This window comes from Homo sapiens, chromosome 5 (assembly GCF_000001405.40).
Source record: "Homo sapiens chromosome 5, GRCh38.p14 Primary Assembly".
Lineage (NCBI taxonomy): Eukaryota > Metazoa > Chordata > Mammalia > Primates > Hominidae > Homo > Homo sapiens.
The window spans coordinates 173,384,775-173,403,349 of NC_000005.10; the positions used below are offsets into that span (position 1 = coordinate 173,384,775).

The 18,575-nt window shown below is 43.1% G+C and overlaps 1 long non-coding RNA gene across 2 annotated transcripts in view; it reads left to right on the plus strand.

The window, feature by feature from the left end:
- Positions 1 to 213: 213 nt before the first annotated feature.
- Positions 214 to 18,575, plus strand: part of LOC105377732 (uncharacterized) — a 139,446-nt gene continuing 121,084 nt past the window's right edge. Inside the window, exon 1 of one of the 2 annotated variants that reach the window (XR_001743001.1) lies at positions 214 to 374. This is a non-coding gene — a long non-coding RNA (uncharacterized LOC105377732). The remainder of the gene's footprint in view (positions 375 to 18,575) is intronic. The other variant, XR_007059057.1, reaches the window with a different exon arrangement.

The window sequence follows — 18,575 nt, forward strand, 5'->3', positions numbered from 1 at the left end:
AAGGGGCGCCCATTCAGTGGATGCTACCATCCCTGCCTAGCTGCTCAACCCAGAGATTTAGGAATGTCCTGCCTGACTTCTCCCAGTCCCTCAGCCCCATCTTCCAATCCATCAATGAGTTCTGTCCATTCTACCTCCAAAATAGAACTCTTCTATTCTGGACCACTTTTCTCCATCTCAAGGGTATCATTTCACTCCACCAGCTCTGACTCACTGCAGCAGCCTCCCGGAGGCACCTCCCACTTCTTTATTTTTCCCTCCCACCCAAGGGTTCTTGAAGAGAAGTCCTCTGACCAGCAGCCTGATCACCTGGAAATTTGTTAGAAATGTAGGTTCCTGGGCCTCCCGAGACTGACTGCTCAGAAGTTCTGGAGGTAAGAACAAGCAGTCTTGGTTTTAACAAGCACCCAAGGTGCTTGGGATGCAGCTCATATTTGAGAACATCTTCCATTCTTTTTCTTTTTTTTCTGAGACGGAGTCTCATCCTGTCACCCAGGCTGGAGTGCAGCGGTGCAGTCTTGGCTCACTGCAGCCTGCGCCTCCCAGGCTCAAGCGATTCTCCTGCCTTAGCCTCCCTAGTAGCTGGGATTACAGGCGTTTGCCCCCATGCCCAGCTAATTTTTGTATTTTTAGTGGAGACAGGGTTTTGTCATGTTGGTCAGGCTGGTCTCGAACTCCTGACCTCAGATAATTCACCTGCCTCGGCCTCTCAAAGTGTTGGGATTATAGACATGAGCCAACGCACCTGGCCCCATTCATTTTTGACACAGGCAAGGTACTCAGCACCTTTTACACATTCTCTTATTTATCTCCATTTTAAAGTGGAGGAAACTGAAATCTGATCTTACAGGATACATTAGACTGTATAACTTTCAAGCTGAAAACCCTTCAGGAACTTCCCACTGCGCTTGGAATAAAACTCTTACGCAGCCTACATGATCCTGCACCATCTAGCTCTGGCCTCTCTCCCCGGCTTCCCCTGGAGAGATGCTTTTCCTTGGGCTCATCTGCCTCCACGCCTTTTCACCTTTCAGTTCCATGAGTGCACAATTCACCTTCCAGCCTTAGGGCCTTTGTGGACACTGTTCCCTCTGCCTGGAACACTCACTCTCCCTTTATTTTACATGGATAATGCCTTTACCTCATCATTCAGATTTATCAAAAATGTCACCTTCTGGATGACATTATAATATATTGCAAATTATATCGTCTGTTGGATGTTCATCGTGCACATTAGCATTTTAAAGCCCCTGATAAGTCCTGCAGTAAAGAAGCCTGTTTAGTTTGGTCTCATTTGGCATTTTCCAACTCTTTTTGACCAGGCACTAGTTTTACCTAACACCTATGACTGCCTTTTGATTCAGGAGTGCTGAGTCACAGTTCTCTCACCTCCACTGAGAACATGAGGTCATAGTCACCTCTTTTTCTTCTTGGCACTTGCAGGTTTCTATACGGTGACTTCAGAGTCCGTGTTTCCCTGTATTTGACAACTGTAAAGTAAACCTGGAGCCTTACAGCTAACTTTCATGTTGGTACAGATTTTCTGTGACTAGATTCATTTACTCTGCCAGCAAATGTTTTTCAGGTACCAAGGTACAAAGTGTTCTGTGAGGCACATTTGGAGGCAAAGAGGTGAATGAGGGATGGACACTTCCTTAAAAAGCCCATGGGTTTATGTGGGAAGAGTACATGCAAACAAATCACTAAAAAGAGGTAGAATGGCCAGGCATGGTGGCTCACGCCTGTAATCCCAGAACTTGAGGAAGCTGAAGTGGGAGGATTGCTTAAGCCCAGAAGTTTGAGACCAGCCTCAAACAGGGTAACGAGGTGAGCCCCTGTCTTTATTTAAGAAAAAAAAAAAAAGATAGAATGAATAGCAATAAACAGATGCTCCATGTCAGCCCCAGGATGGGCAAAGTACATGCTGTCTAAGGCACACACAAATTCCATGCATTATACCTAATGCTCACTGCAGCTCTGCTGTAGAGGGGCTATTTTCCCTTTGTACAGATACAGAAACAGAGAGTCGGAGAGATTTGTCTTTTGTTCTGTATCACACTGTTAGTGAGTGATGTTAGTGAGTTCAAAAGTTTGAACCATGTCTGGTTCAGACTCTTCTGACTCTGAAGCCCAGGGTCTTTCCAAATACCTGTGCTGCTGCCATTTCCTGACCAGGTTTCTCAAGGCCTAAATCCAGATAGTCTCTGAGACTGTCAAATATTAGAGTGGGCTCTAATATTTAAATAAGTACTATCTCAGGAAAGCTGAGCTGTGATTCTTGTCACTGATGGGAATTGAGAAGAAGACTTTAACCTTAAAAAAGTTATTTTTTTCCTGTTCTTTTAGGTTATCTTTATTTTATTTGTTTTTTTTTTAACTTTTATTTTAAGTTCAGGGGTACATGTGCGGATTTGCTACATAGGTAAACTTGTTTCATGGGGGTTTGTTGTACAGATTATTTCATCATCCAGGTATTAAGCCCAGTACCCATTAGTTATTTTTCCTGATCCTCTCCTTCCTCCCACCCTCCACCCTCTGATAGGCCCCAGTGTGTGTTGTTCCCCTCTATGTTTCCATGGGTTCTCATCATTTAGCTTTCATTTATAAGTGAGAACATGCAGTGTTTGGTTTTCTGTTCTTGCATTGGTTTGCTGAGGATAATGACCTCCAGCTCCATCCATGTCCCTGCAAAGGACATGATCTTGTTCTTTTTCATGGCTGCATAGTATTCCATGGTATATATGTACCACATTTTCTTTATCTAGGCTATCATTGATGGGCATTTAGGTTGATTCCATGTCTTTGCTATTGTGAATAATGCTGCAATGACCATACGCATGAATGTGTCTTTATAACAGAATGATTTATATTCCTTTGGGCATATACCAAGTAATGGGATCACTGGGTCGAATGGTATTTCTGTCTTTAGGTCTTTGAGGAATTGCCACACTGTCTTCCACAATGGTTGAACTCATTTACACTCCCACCAACGCGTATAAGTGTTCCTTTTTCTCCACAACATTGCCAGCATGGTACTTTTTGACTAAAAAAAGGTTATTTCTAATTGCCTGAGCAATTCATAAATATGTTCTTTTTATTAAAAATAAAAACATTTTAGATAAGCAAAAGTACTCTGCTATCCTGGTCTCCTCTCTTCTGTGACAAAGGTAAACTATGTAATCAATTTGGTGTGTGCTTCTCCAGACCATTCTCTATATATTACTTAGCGCAAATGTAGGCAATATGGGAAATATCACACAGAAAGATTTACCTTGTAATTTTTCTTCTTTTGCTCAACAGTGTATTTTGGAGCTCTTTCTATGCTAGCATGTATAGCTACATCATTTTTTGTTCCCAACTTTTTATTTTGAAACAGCTTCTTATTTTGAAACAGAAAAGCTGCAAGAATAAGAATGGTTAGAAGAATTTTCAAATACCCTTTCTTCAAATGTAATATTTTGCCCTATTTGCTATATGTATGCATATGTATGTGTGTATGTATGCATATATGTATATTTGCATATATGTATTTTAATATGTGTGTATGTATATTTTATATATCCATCACATATAAATATAAAATTTAATTTTCTTTTACAAATTATTTGAGAATAAGTGGCATACGCTATATTCCTTTCGTAAATATTTCACTGCATAATTCCTAAGACTAAGGATGTTCTTTTTTTTTTTTTTTGAGACTGTTTTGTTTTCTGTCACTCAGGCTGAAATGTAGTGGCATGAGCATGGCCCACTGTAGCCTGAATTTCCCAGGCCCAAGTGATCTTCCTGCCTCAACCTCCTGAGTAGCTTGGGCCACAGGCATGGGACACCACACCTAGCTAATTTTTAAATTTTTAGTAGAGATAAGGTCTCACCATGTTGCCCAGGCCGGTCTTGAATTCCTGGACTCAAGCCATCCACCCACCTTGGCCTCCCAGTGTTGGGATTACAGATGTGAGCCACCACATCTGGCAGGATATTCTCTTAAAAAGCCTTAACAGTTGTCAACTACTCTAAATTCAATATTGATATGCTACTTTTATTTCATTTATAATCTAAATTTTATTTTTGTCAGTTAATCAAATGAGGTCCTTTATAGTATTTGTATTCCTCCCTCTAATCTAAGATGCCATCTAGGATAAGATATTGCATTTAGTTGTCATGTCTCTTTGGTTGTCTATTAATATGGAACATTTTTAGTCTTTGTATTTTATGATATTGACACTTTTGAATATAGTCTCTTTTAATAAAATTGGCGCTTTCTTATTTGGGGTTTTGTGATGGTCTCTCATGATTAGATTGATGATGAGCTTCAAGGTAGGCACTTTCAGCCGGAATATTATATAGGTGATGAGTTCTTCTCAAGGTACTCACTCACAATGTCTGTCTGCCCCTCGTTGGTGATGCTAACTTTGATCATCTGCTTGAAGTGTTGTCTGATTTGTTTACCATATAGTCACTGTTTTTTTCTTTTTACAACCTCAACCAATATGCAGTCTGTTGGAGGATACTGAAGGTCATGCTAATAGCCTGCTCCTCATCACCATTTCTCCCCAGATTTAGCATCCGTTGATGATTCTTGCCAGATCCAAACTTTATTGTGATGGTTGCAAAATGATGATTTTCTAGCTGTAACATTTCTTCCATGTGTACCAGTGGGCTTGGCATTCTGCTGTAAGGTAGAGTTCTCCCTTCTCTCTTACGTATTTGTTTACCCATTTATTATGGACTCAGGGGTTCTGATTTTTCAATGGTCTGTAATGTTACTATCCTTAATTATTGTGGTGCTCAAATTGTCCGATTTTTGGCCAGTGGGCCCCCGCTTCCCATGTCCTTAGGGGATGTCCTCATCATTTTTTTTTTGGAGAACCTCTTTCCTTTTTGGCATTAAAAAATGTTCCAGGCCCATCTTGTATCTGCCCTGCCTTCACTCTGGAGTCAGCTGTTTCTCTGAGGAGCCCTGCTATTTCCTTCTTTTCATAGGAAATATTATCATACACCAGGATCTGCATGCTAGCACACTCATTGCTACTGGGTCTCATTGCTTTTACCTACTATATTCTATTTAATGACTTCCTGGCATTTCATAGAATAGCTGTGCAACTGTTTATTTATCCATTGCTCTATTAATGGATGCTTAAGTTGTTTCCAATTTGTCCCTATTTCAAGCAACTCTCAGTGAACATTTGGTTATACACTCTTTGTGTATTTATGCTAGGAGTATCTATCTCTCCAAAGATAGCTGATGAGAAGTGGAATTTCTTGATCATAAGATGTATATGTTTAAAATTTTACTTGATAGTGTCAATCTCTTCTCCACAGTGGCCCCACCAATTTAGATCACAGCAAGTAGGACATGAGAGTCCTCATCTTTCCAGACACTTTCTGATGCTGAGTATTACAAACATTTTGTTTTTACACAACCCCAGGGGTGAAAAATGTGGGCTGATTGGCCTCATGTTCATTTTCCACATTGTAAGAGAGGGTGAGGATCTCTTCCTGTGTTTATTGCCCCTTTGTCTTCTTGCTGGTGGGAGGAGAGGAAGCTTTGTGAGGGTCGGAACGGTAGAGCCAGACCTCACTAGATGGGTAGGCTTTTAGGAAGTAGGCAAGGAGGGAGGCTATTTCAGATGTAGGAAATGACAGAGCCAACCACCAGGCAGTGAAGGCCAAGTAGCTGTAGGTTTTGGATCCCCCACTTTCCCGGGGTGAGGCCTGCTATTTTGTCCTGGTGCCATTGCTTTCACAGTCTTCTCTATGACAAGCTTTGCAAGAGGCCTCCAGGAATGGGAGAACTACTCCCTGGGCCTCCATGTAAAGTAATACAAGAATTCACACCCATCTTCCTTGTCTGAGAGAGATTAAATTGTGGGCTGAGATAGTCAAATGTTTTTCTTAAGGCAGTGAAAGCAACTGTGTTCACCAAAAATTGGATCAAGTGAGGGTGCAGCCAATGAAGGAAAGAGTACAGAATAAATGACCTGTGGTGGGACAGGGACTGATGTGGTCAATGACATGAAACAGACAAAACCTCACCCACAAGTGATAGATGGAAACCCAACACAATATGGGCTGTAGCGATCAGGACCATACGAGAGGCTAGCTCTTCATTTTGGCTAAATTGTCAGAGGCTTGGAGGAAAAGCAAGGTGGCATGGCAGAAAGGACAATAGAGGTGGCTCCAGGGTCTTGATGAGGTTTTGCCAAGAGACAGGTGCAGACAATTTACTAAGCTATAGGCAAGGCTTTCTTTCATAGCAAAAATGCCTTTGTGGGAAGAAAGAGCAAGAAGAAGGGGATTAATTTAGAACACGAGGGATTTAGGTCAGAGATTTGAACTGACTGAGGTAATCCAAACCAGTGATTTGTCAGGGAGTTTGTGGAATGTCCTTCTCTTCTTTGAAAAAGGCGTAGGTTCTTTTCTGCTGGAATGAACTGGAGGAGTCCTGTATAAAAGACCCTCCAGGCTTGGATTCTCTGCCAAGGCAGGGCCTCCGTGGGTTGACTGCAGATGTAGCTGTTCTTGGCAGACCTGACTTGCCGCTCACAAGTTCACGTGCTTTCTCTGTCAAAGAAGGTTGGGGAGCCTCGCCAGCAGGACTCGAACCTCTCACAGGATAAATGGCCTTTGGGGCTGCAGGCATATCTGGGAAAATGGTAAAGGTGTTTTTTTTTTCTTTCTTTCTAATTGTTATCTCAACTTAATTTTCATACCAATACCATAGTGAACAATGATTATATATCATCATCCTAATTTTCCTCTTTTTTTATTCTTTTTTTAAAATTCAGAGTCTTGGTCTGTCACCCAGGCTGGAGTGCAATAGTGCCATCTTGGCTCACTGCAACATCCACCTCCTGGGTTCAAGTGATTCTTGTGCCTCAGCCTTTTGAGTAGCTGGGATTACAGGCGCACCCCACCACACCTGGCTAATTTTTGTATTTCTAGTAGAGACAGGGTTTCACCATGTTGGCCAGGCTGGTCTCGAACTCCTGACCTCAAGTGATTCGCCCGCCTCATCCTCCCAATGTGCTGGGATTACAGGCGTGAGCCACTGTGCCTGGCCCTTTTTTTAACCTTTCAATATGAGAACATTTAAATTTGCAAAGTTGAAAGTCTAATACAATGACTACTGTGCCACCCACCACCTAGATTCAACATTTTTCTTCTATATCTTTTATCTCAATATACATTTGTGTATGTGTGTGCGTTGCATATACAAGTATGTATATCTAACTAAATATCTATGTTTTTTCCTTTTGCAACTTGCAAACATTATGACATACTTTACCCCTTCAGGAGACAGAAACCATACCTGTTATTTGAATGGAAATAATTTACTATAATGATTTGTTAATTAGGTATAAAGTTATTAACTACATAACTGAAATAGAAAAAGAGAATGCCTTAGATTCCTTAGAATTACAGAGGAAGCAATTTTTATGAAGTAGCTACCATCCCTAGGGCTGAGGAGGGACCCTATGTTGCTGAAAGTCTGATCCTTGAGACTGAGCAGCTGTTAGTCTGGTGCTGGTCTCTGATCTGTGGGGCTGGGCCCCAGACCTCTTGAGAAAGGGGCTTAATTCAGTGGCTGCTACAGGAATGAAGTGCCTCTGCCAGGGTGAAGCACTGTCAGGTGACAGAACACAAACAAACAAGAAGTAGGAAGAAGCAAACCCTTTCCTCCCCTTTAGCCTTGCAGCCTCTCTCTAGCTCCCACTTTTGGCAGAGCCTATCACATGGTTTGCAGAGTCCTGGACCCAGCATCACAAGGTCAAGTATAGAAAGGCAAACTTGGAGCAGAAAGATAATATTTTAATAACTGTCATGAACCATAAATTCTTTGGTATGTGTCTCCTAAATTAAGAATATACTTCTACATATAGACAATAATAGTCTCATGCCTAAGAAACAGCGATTTCCTAATATCAAATACCCAGTCCGTGTTGCAGTATCTCTAATTATCCTCCAAGTGTTTTGTTATGGCTGAGATTTTAGTGTTTTAGGATGTGAAACCACTCATGTTTCCTGCATTGCATTTACCTGACATACCTCTTCAGTCTCTTTTGTTTTAGAACAGTCTTCTACTCCCTCCCCTTTTAAATACTGATGATGAAAGGCTGGGCCAGTCGAGTTGTCCAAAGTCCTATGGTCTGAGTATCTGAGTGTTTCTTCATGGTGTTGCTTTATCTGTTCCTCTATCCTCAGTATTTCCTGTAACCTAGAGGTTAAGTCTTGATCAGATTGAGTAAGTTCATTTATTTTTTTGTCAAGAATTCTTCATAGGTGGTGGTACACACTTCATTGCAATGTATATATTAGCATATAAATTATATTATCATATTTGAATATATTTATTAACTTCAGATATACTTTTGTACCCCTGGGAACAAAAGCCAAACAATTCTTATGGAAAGAGAGGGAAGAACATCAGTTTTCACTGTAACAGGTGTTGCCAGTTAGTTCTGATAGAACTTGCCCTGGTCCCCAAGCACTGAGCCCTGCCCTGCTGTCCTCGTGCATCATCTGGAGATGTTCTGTACTATGTACGGGAACCTCTGCTCATGTAGACTGTGTTTTGTCCCCCTGAGTATCCTGTTTTACAATCCTCCAGGTCTCCCACTTGCTCTGCAACCTACACTGTGGCTTGGCTCTCCACTGCCTTGCCCCTGAGTGTTTTGCTGCAGAGCCAGTGTGATGAGAATGGTCTGTTGGTGAAGGGGGAGTTTTCTCTTCTTTTCTTATCCCTGGTTGTCATTTTTGTGATTTCTTTCTGGAGCTGCCTTGTAAAACCTTGCCCTGTGTCATATTTTCACCCCATCTATAATCATACCTTTCTCACCTGAGACTCTGGTCTGTCTCAGCATCACTGATGTGTTCTCTGCTTTGCTGTTCAACACCTTGGATCTTAGCCATCCTGACTTCCCTTTGGGATCACTGAGCAAAGCCCTCGTTGATGATGTTGGATCCTACTTCTGGGTTTTATTTTCATCATCAAATCCATTTCACCTTCTCATGGGCATGAATAGAAGGGTCAGGCAAGCTCAGCTCTGAGCCCAAGTAGCAGAAGAGTTGTCAGTTTAGTTTCTTACCTTAGATGTCTGCAGGGGTCCAACAGGTTTAGGGAAGTTGAGGACGACCAGATGATGTGGTTTTGCTGTGTCCCCACCCAAATCTCACACTGAATTGTAATAATCCCCGTATGTCAAGGGTGGAGCCAGGTGGAGATAATGGAATCATGGGGGCAGTTTCTCCCATACTGTTCTCATGATAGTGAATAAGTCTCATGAGATCTGATGGTTTTATAAAGGGGAGTTCTCCTGCACACGCTCTCTTGCCTGCTGCCATGTAAGACATGCCTTTGCTTCTCCTTTGCCTTCCACCATGATTGTGAGACCTCCCCATCCATGTGGAACTGTGAGTCCGTTAAACTTCTTTCCTTTATAAGTTACCGGTATGTCTTTTTTTTTTTTGAGACAGGGTCTCACTCTGTTGCCCAGACTGGAGTGCAATGGCGTGATCTCGGCTCACTGCAATCTCTGCCTCCCAGGTTCAAGTGATTCTCCCGCCTCAACCTCCCAAGTAGCTGGGATTACAGGTGCGTGGCACCACACCCAGCTAATTTTTGCATTTTTAGTAGAGACAGGGTTTCACCATGTTGGCCAGGCTGGTCTCAAACTCCTGACCTCAAGTGATCCACCAGCCTTGGCCTCCCAAAATGCTGGGATTACAGGTGTGAGCCACCGTGCCTGGCCTGGTATGTCCTTATTAGCAGCGTGAGAACAGACTAATACAAGACTAATACTTCAGATATGTGAAAATCAGCAGCTCGAGTTCAAGAAGAAATAGCAACTGACCCCCAGTTTCTGTGTGATGGGGAGCCCATGAAAAAAAATACTATAAATTCTTTGCAGCTCTTCCTATCAAGAGGTGATGTCTGTTTCCCCAGACTTTGAATTGGACTGATCTTTTATCTTCCTTTATCCAATAGAACATTAATGAAAGAAAGGTAAGCAGAGGCTCAAAAAGTGCCTGCCTATTGGGGCTTTCCCCTCTCCTGATGATGGAAGAGCCCACGTGAAGGAGCTGAGCTGGCTGCTGGACAGGCCACATGGAGGAGAATCGAGGCATTCCACCAGCAGCCTGTCAGCCTCTGGCTGCAGCAAGTAGTATGAGTGAGGCTCGGCAAAACTGGCTGAAGAAATGCTCAGCAGAACCCAGCCCGAATTGCTGACACCCAGAATTGCAGCTAATGTATTATCATTGTTTTAAGCCACTAAGATTTGGGGTGGTTTCTTACACAGCAAAGGCTCACTGGTACATGCTCCATCTGAAGCGGGCAGCTCCCACCCAGTGGCAGCCTAGAGATGCCATGCTGGAATATGGCCCCATGTCACCATGTCTTCCAGTTCTTTTCAAGACAAGAGACAATTCAAGATAATTTTTATGTGATGCATTCTAACTTTAAATGATAGTACTAAAATTAAAAAATTTAAAAACATTCTAGAGGTCCAAAGAAACAACTGGGGGCTGGATTCCATCTCCCTCAGACCATCCCTCTTCTTGCTACTGGGTCCAGTGTTTGCCCCGATTATTCTCCCTGATCCAGAAAAGTGGACTTTGGGGGATGGGGGTGGGGGACACATGAGCAAGCAGCAGCCTCTAGAAACTGCCAGCAGAGGGCTGGACGAGGACCCAAGGCTTCATCGGCTGTGAAGCACTGAGTCACTGATGGACATGGTGACTCGATGGGAATGCTTCTAAAAATGTCTTTCAGGAGGGATTTTTTTCTTTTCAGACAAAATACCACCTCCTCTCAGCTTCTCCCCAGTATAGCTCATTCCTCTACAGGGCAAATCATAAATACTGTACTCCCCCCATATCTGTCTCCCTCATTAGATTTGGGGGAGCTCCCGGAGAGCCTCATGGGGAACTTGTTTACTTTTCCATCCTGATGCCCTGACTGGTGACTTGGCAGATGCCTGGAATGTTCTTTTGCTCCCCCTCTCCTTGTCCTCTCTGACAGTTCTTGACATAAGGCAGGCTGTGTGTCACAGTCCCAGTCACCTTTCTTTGGAACCCTACATCAGAGTCAGTCACTGGGCACAAATGTTCATCTAGCTAAGGAATTCGAGAAAATGGAATTTTCTCACATTTTTTGTCAACTTATGGAAAATCAGCTAACGAACCAAAAAAAAAAAATTTCCAAAACCAAACGCAAAGGTCCCCCACATGTTCAGTGTGTCAGAGGCAAGCTCTAAAGAGGGGGTGTCAGGCCAGCTCTCTGGCCTAGGGACAGCAACACTTGCCTCTGCAGAGCCTCTGAGCTGTGACAGGCACAGGGCAGTGTGATATAGGCCTCTGGAGCCAGATGATTGCGAGCTGGGAGTGCGAGGTTTTACTGGGCCTTTGCAACCCGGGCCAGCCTACACATCTGGATGATTATGGAAGAATAATCCACAAACTCGTGTCTTGTCTCCATAACACTCTGTATTCCCATTGAGGCAACGAGTGCCAACATGCTTTTTCCATTTTCATTCACATCTTTGATCCCTCACAGTCTAAGACTTGGCATGGATGGGCAGGCCAGGAAAACGTTGAGCAAATGCTGTCAGGCACCCTCAGGGAGGCCTGAGGAGGAACAAATGTGCCCGGCAGGGCTACCTCTTGGCTCTGCCTGGAAGTTCCTCCCAGCAATGGCTCTCTGTCCCCAGTGGCTGGAGAGATGGCCGTGTCTTGGCAGGCGCTGGGCCTGGAGCTGGGTGGGAGGCGCGTGGTTTTCCTCTCTCCACTAGGGGGTGGGGGAGTTTGGATGTTGGCACAAGGCTGCCTGCTTGCATTAGAACTCAGCCGGCAAGGAAAGCAGGCGGCTCAAAGACTGGGTCAGCCTCAGGGACTGGATGGGGATGGAGCTTTCAGAGGAGTGGCCCATTGGAGGCAGTCTGGATGGGCATTTGGGTCTGGCCCAGTTTGGTCCAAGGCGGGCCAGGGAAGGCAGCTACTCTAGCCGGGACCCCTAGCAGTCCTGACCTCTAGACCCATCTGCAGGCCATCTTCCCTCAGTGACAGCTCTGTTCCTTGTCATAGGCCAGCCGGAAAAGGTGGCTGGGCACTGGTTGGAGGCCAGAGGGATGGACTTCCTCTTGTACCACACCGCGACATGGGGCTTGAGGCTTTCTTTCCCACGGCAGGCAGGGGAGGGGGGCACCAGGAAGTAGGGTGACCTCTGTGCTATTCCCCAGCCTCCTTGCCGCCTGAATGTCCTGCATTAGGAATGTTATTCCTTTGAGTAAAAGTGTGCATGCTGCCCTGGGATCTCCTTTAAAAATGCTCTCTGAGAGAAGAACATTACGAAAGGGCTGTCATAGTTGCCTTCGTGGATGCATTGATCACACCGCCTGTTTCCCCTGGGCCTTTTGCTTGAATTGGAGGCCAGAGAGAAAGGCTCAAGAAATGCAAAGCACAAGAAATGTTTGGAGGTCTGGGGCCAGCGGTGAAGGGGACAATTGAGGCCTCTTGGCAGTTTTCTGTGGAGGGAAAAGTGGAGTAGAAAGAGTATTTCTAGAATGAAAGAGGGAGCTGAAGAGGGAGGGGACAGGGACATTGAAAAAAGATCCTATAATTTAATCTCTTACTGTTTTTCCGCCTGAGCTCCTTGAATTCTGAGCCGAATTGTTAGTCTGTCACTCTTCCCAACTTCCTTGTCATTTACTGAGGGATTGAGAGAAGGATGCAAACTTAAGTTAATCTTAACTTTCTGAGTCTTGATTTTCCTGCTGGGGAAATGGAGAGAACCATTAAATGAGGTTATGAAGGGAAGGAAGCAAGCACGGGGTCTGTCAGGAACTTCTGGTTTCTCAACACCATAAAAGAAGATCTAGAGTGTCTTCCTTTACCCGGATGTGGAATAGTACTAAAAATAAGAATGCTGCAATTGCTGGGAGGTTGCAGCATGGGCTCTGGTGAGAATAGAAAGACAGGAGGATGCTGGCTGCAGCCTGCAAATTGTCAGCCAGTTGTGCCAGATGTTGTCATCCGCGGAGAGTGGGGAAGAAGGACCAGGGTGGCTTCTGAGCTTTTCAGGTGAGTGGCCCCTTTTTATTTTGTTTGAGACGGAGTCTCGCTCTGTTTCCAGGCTGGAGTGCGGTGGCATGATCTCGGCTCACTGCAATCTCTGCCTCCCGGGTTCAAGTGATTCTCCTGTCTCAGCCTCCGGAGTAGCTGGGACTACAGGTATGCAGCACCATGCCCAGCTAATTTTTGTGTTTTTGGTAGAGACGGGGTTTCACCATGTTGGCCAGGATGATCTCTATCTCTTGCCCTCGTGATCCGCCTGCCTTGGCCTCCCAAAGTGCTGGGATTACAGGCTTGTGCCACCACGCTCAGCCGGCTCCAACTTTTTTATTTAGAGGCTGGGTGGGACCCATGAATGCCCAGGCTATAAGCACACAAGAAATTTTTTGAAAAGCTAAAATAGTCAAGCTATATACAAATACCACTTTTGATGATTTACGCTCAAACAAATAATTTGAGGAAGCCACAATCTACCAAAAGTATAAAAAGCAAACCACACAGAAATGCAAAATGTTCCTCCATGGGACAAACAGGATGTTTGCTTTCCTATGTGCAGTTAGGCCTTACCATTCTGTGGGCTGGATGCTCTTCCCAGCTCCAACTTTATGAAGTGAAAGAAGGGCCAAAACACCTATGGATCTATTCCTACATTATTTAAGACACCTTATAGAGAACAAGGAAAACAACAGGACAACCTGCGTAAATAAGATGTCAGGGCAAAGAAGTACAAGGGTAAGAAAATAAGAAAAAGCCAGAGGTAGAGTTGTGCACAGATATTTGAACCCTCAAGTCCTGCCCAGTATATAAAGGTAAACTACAAGTTTGGTTGTGAGCTTACTGGTGGCCAAAGCAAAGAGGGAAATATGATCTACAAAAGGACTCATGCTGTCCATCAACTTAACACAAGCCAGCTCACTTAGGAGAAGCACAATTCCTACTGGAACCAAGGCTGGAGAGATTTCTATGCCGGGTTTTCCTGGAGGAAACTGTGTGTGATGAAGTCAAATACTTCCTCACCATAGCTCCACAATACATGGGGCAATGAATTTCATATGCCTTACAAAAAAAAATCTCTTAATGGAAGCAGGTCCCTCCAATAAAACAACTGTACAAGGACCCCAGACACTCTGGCCCAAACATTCAGCTTTTTCATGATTGGATTTTGCCCAAAGGTAAAATTTGGACAGTGTGAAACAGTAACTTGCAAGGGAGTCCTGTGGGATAAGAATATGTGCGATGTGAAGAAAAGACCAAACAAAGGTAGGCAGGATTTTTTTAAAAACTGCAAGCCTTCTTAGAATCTGTCATGTGTGAATGCATTCATGTTTCTGTGATTTACTGCCTTTCCAAAGCCTACATGACTGAACAATCCTGTGTGTGTCTGTAGCATCTTGGGAGCCCAGTGGAGATGGGGGTCTAAAAGCAAGGAAAGGACCCACAAATCCAAAGCTAGAGCCACACAGTCTTGTTCCCTAACGACATCCTTACCTCAAGCTTGTCTTTGAAAGGAATGCTGGTGAGTGTCACCTTAGAGAGTACTCAACTGATGCAATGGTTTCTGTATTGGTTATAACTTTCCTAGGACATACAAATGAATAAGATAGATAAATTTAGAACTACTTTAAGAATAAGCATTCAATGAGGCCCCACCTAAAATGGTCTTGCATATGTTCAGTGGCAAACCTGCCTACCACACTTGGGAAACCGCCTTCTAGATGGAGGTGTGGACTTTACCTGTCCTTCCCCTAAGCCTCTGTGGATTTAGGGTCTCATCTCTGAGACATGATAAGGATTGGGCAGAGGAGAAGTCAGTGACTGTATTCTATGGCCCAGGCCATGGATTACCATGGTTTTGGGCATGGCATGACCATGTTATGGATCAGTTAAGGGCTAATCCATCCACTCGGGCCTTCCATGGAGTGCCTAATGGAAGAAGTTCAGGGAAAGAACCTGATGTTGCTTGACCTGGCTAGATATGAGATAGAAAAAAAAGAACATTATTCCCAATGTCTTAAACTTCCCAGTGGGTCCATTTCTTTTTTTCTTCTCTGTTTACATTTATTTTTTGTCTTCTTGAGGGGTGATTTCCAGATGGGATCCTTCAGGTTGCATGAGAATGAATCAGGTTCATAGCCTATCATATCTCCAGCATTTCCACCCGTTTTGTGGCCAAATGTTTGGAAATGTTTGCTTTCTAAAGACAGCTGTTCATTTATCTTTTTCTTCCACAAACATATAGTCAATGCTGACCATATGCAAAAAAGGAGTGAGCCAGTGCACACAAAGATATACAAAAGTCATTTAGAAGTTACATAAATCTCGGTATAAATAATAGAAACTAGATTTCCAGCCAAAAATGGAAAACATCATGTATTTGACAAAGAACATTTATACAACAAATCTGATTCTTTTAGTATAGTGATTTTTAAACAATTTACACTCAATGGTTGTTGCTTACCAAGCCAGGTAATTAAATATATCCTGATAGGACAAAGTGATGTAGGCGAGCTTTTGTCTTTCTGATGCCTGTCTTTTTTTTTTTTTGAGATGGAGTCTTGCTCTGTCACCCAGGCTGGAGTGATGCAGTGGTGCAATCTTGGCTCACTGCAACCTCCGTCTCCAGGGTTCAAGCGATTCTCCTGTATCAGCCTGCTGGGTAGCTGGGACTATAGGCACAAACCACCATGCCTGGCTAATTTTTTTTTTTTTTTTAAGTAGAGACAGGGTTTCACTATGTTGGCAAAGCTGGCCTCGAACTCCTGACCTCAAGTGATCTGCCTGCCTCGGCCTCCCAAAATGCTGGCATTACAGGTGTGAGCCACCACGCCCAGCCTGATGTCTGTCTTATATTCAGTTCTCTCACGTGCTCTGGTCATAAAACCTTGCCCTGTGTTTTCCTTTATACCATTCCTTAGGACTAAAACCCCTCGTACCCTGGCATAGTCATTCAGCAAACATTGATTGCCTGTAGTGTCTCAGCATCTTCACAGTGTTCAGCACCTTTGCACTGGACACATTTTCATCTGATCTCTAGGGGTCTTCTGGAACCCACCTCTTGCACAAAAACTTACCCTGGGGAGCTTTTCTATTTAGCTTTTTGCCAAGCAGGCCACTAAAAGAAAACAGAACATCCCCTTCCTTGAGATTTATGGTTAAGAAAAGTTTAGTTGCGATCATTTCCAACTGTGCTTATCTGTGTCTGAACAGTCTATGATTTGGTTGGTAGGAAATGTGCAAAAAGTGGGAAAATATTCTCCATGGCGGTTAAAAGCTAGTGGAGATAAATTAAAATCCCATTATTAAGTTAAAATATGGCATTAGAAATGAAATTTTATTTACTTATTAGGTCAAAGATCAAGAGGAACTATTGTCTGGATCCTGGGGAAGATCAGTAATGCAATCATAGGAAATTTGGTTGTAATTCCGTTGTGTGGACAATCATTCGATGACAATAGAAATTCACATATAGGTGAAAACATTCTTTCTACCTTGCCTGAAGGACTTGAATGAAACAAGGAGACCCTTTCCAGCACATTGATGTGTCTCACAAGCAATAATTAATGAATCTGCCAATCATTTTTCACTATTTCTGGAGGTTAGCACTGGCTTGAGAGACTATCTCTAGAGACAGAGAAGAGGTATTAGTGGAATAATTCATTAATGTCCTGTTTACACTGTTCTCATTGTCCAGTTTTCCCCTTCAGTGAGATGTGTTGTCCTAAAAGTTTCAGTCCTGTGGCCTACATGTTTTGTGCTGGACTCCATGAGATAGAAAATACTTCTGGTTATGGGTCAAAGAGGTGTTGGACTCCACTGAGAGAGAAGATACTTCTGGTTAAGGGTCAAAGAGATGTTGTGAGAGAAACTTAGTGAAAGCACTGACAACATTATTCAGCCAGTGTTTACTGAGCACCTACTATGTGCCAGGTGTGCATACACATGTGTGCGTGTTTTCTTTTTTTTTCTTTTATTATTATTTTACTTTAAGTTTTAGGGTACATGTGCACAATGTGCAGGTTAGTTGCATATGTATACATGTGCCATGCTGGTGTGCTGCACCCATTAACTCGTCATTTAGCATTAGGTATATCTCCTAATGCTATCCCTCCCCGCTCCCCCCACCCCACAACAGTCCCCAGAGTGTGATGTTCCCCTTCCTGTGTCCATGTGTTCTCATTGTTCAATTCCCACCTATGAGTGAGAACATGCGGTGTTTGGTTTTTTGTCCTTGCAATAGTTTACAGAGAATGATGATTTCCAATTTCATCCATGTCCCTACAAAGGACATGAACTCATCATTTTTTATGGCTGCATAGTATTCCATGGTGTATATGTGCCACATTTTCTTAATCCAGTCTATCATTGTTGGACATTTGGGTTGGATGTGTGTGTGTTTTCTAGCACCAGAAGAGTTACACCAGGCACTGAGGATCTATAATTCTCCCTCTTTGCTATTTTATCTCCTTCCTTAGCATTGCACCTCAGTATTTTGCAGCTTGCAAATAGCATTTGCTCTTCAAGACTATCCTTTTCCTTCTTTGGAAATCTAAATTTCACACTGCCACAAAGCAATGTCATTGGATAACCAAACTATCCTGTAAAATCTGGCTTCAGCCATTCCACCTTGAGTTTTGACAATACATTATTTTTTTTTCTAGAAAAATAAGGGAGCAAGCTTATTTTCTTATTTTCTGTGGGTAAGAGTAGGTTATGATTTTAGAATGTTGTCCTGGTCCAACGAGTTTTGCAATGCAATTACCTCATCTGTATGAACTCAGATCCTGTGGTCTTACAAAAAGAGGCATAAAGATTAATTGGAGGGGTTATTTGGAACAATTGATACTACTTTATCTTATTTGATATGTCCTTGGTTCTTAACTTGTTGATTTAAAGATGTTTGTTTCCTAATTGATTATTTGAAAATGATTCTTAGATGCATTTCTTTTTCTTTTTTTTTTTTTTTTATTATACTCTAAGTTTTAGGGTACATGTGCACATTGTGCAGGTTAGTTACATATGTATACATGTGCCATGCTGGTGCGCTGCACCCACTAATGTGTCATCTAGCATTAGGTATATCTCCCAATGCTATCCCTCCCCACTCCCCCGACCCCACCACAGTCCCCAGAGTGTGATATTCCCCTTCCTGTGTCCATGTGATCTCATTGTTCAATTCCCACCTATGAGTGAGAATATGCGGTGTTTGGTTTTTTGTTCTTGCGATAGTTTACTGAGAATGATGGTTTCCAATTTCATCCATGTCCCTACAAAGGATATGAACTCATCATTTTTTATGGCTGCATAGTATTCCATGGTGTATATGTGCCACATTTTCTTAATCCAGTCTATCATTGTTGGACATTTGGGTTGGTTCCAAGTCTTTGCTATTGTGAATAGTGCCGCAATAAACATACGTGTGCATGTGTCTTTATAGCAGCATGATTTATACTCATTTGGGTATATACCCAGTAATGGGATGGCTGGGTCAAATGGTATTTCTAGTT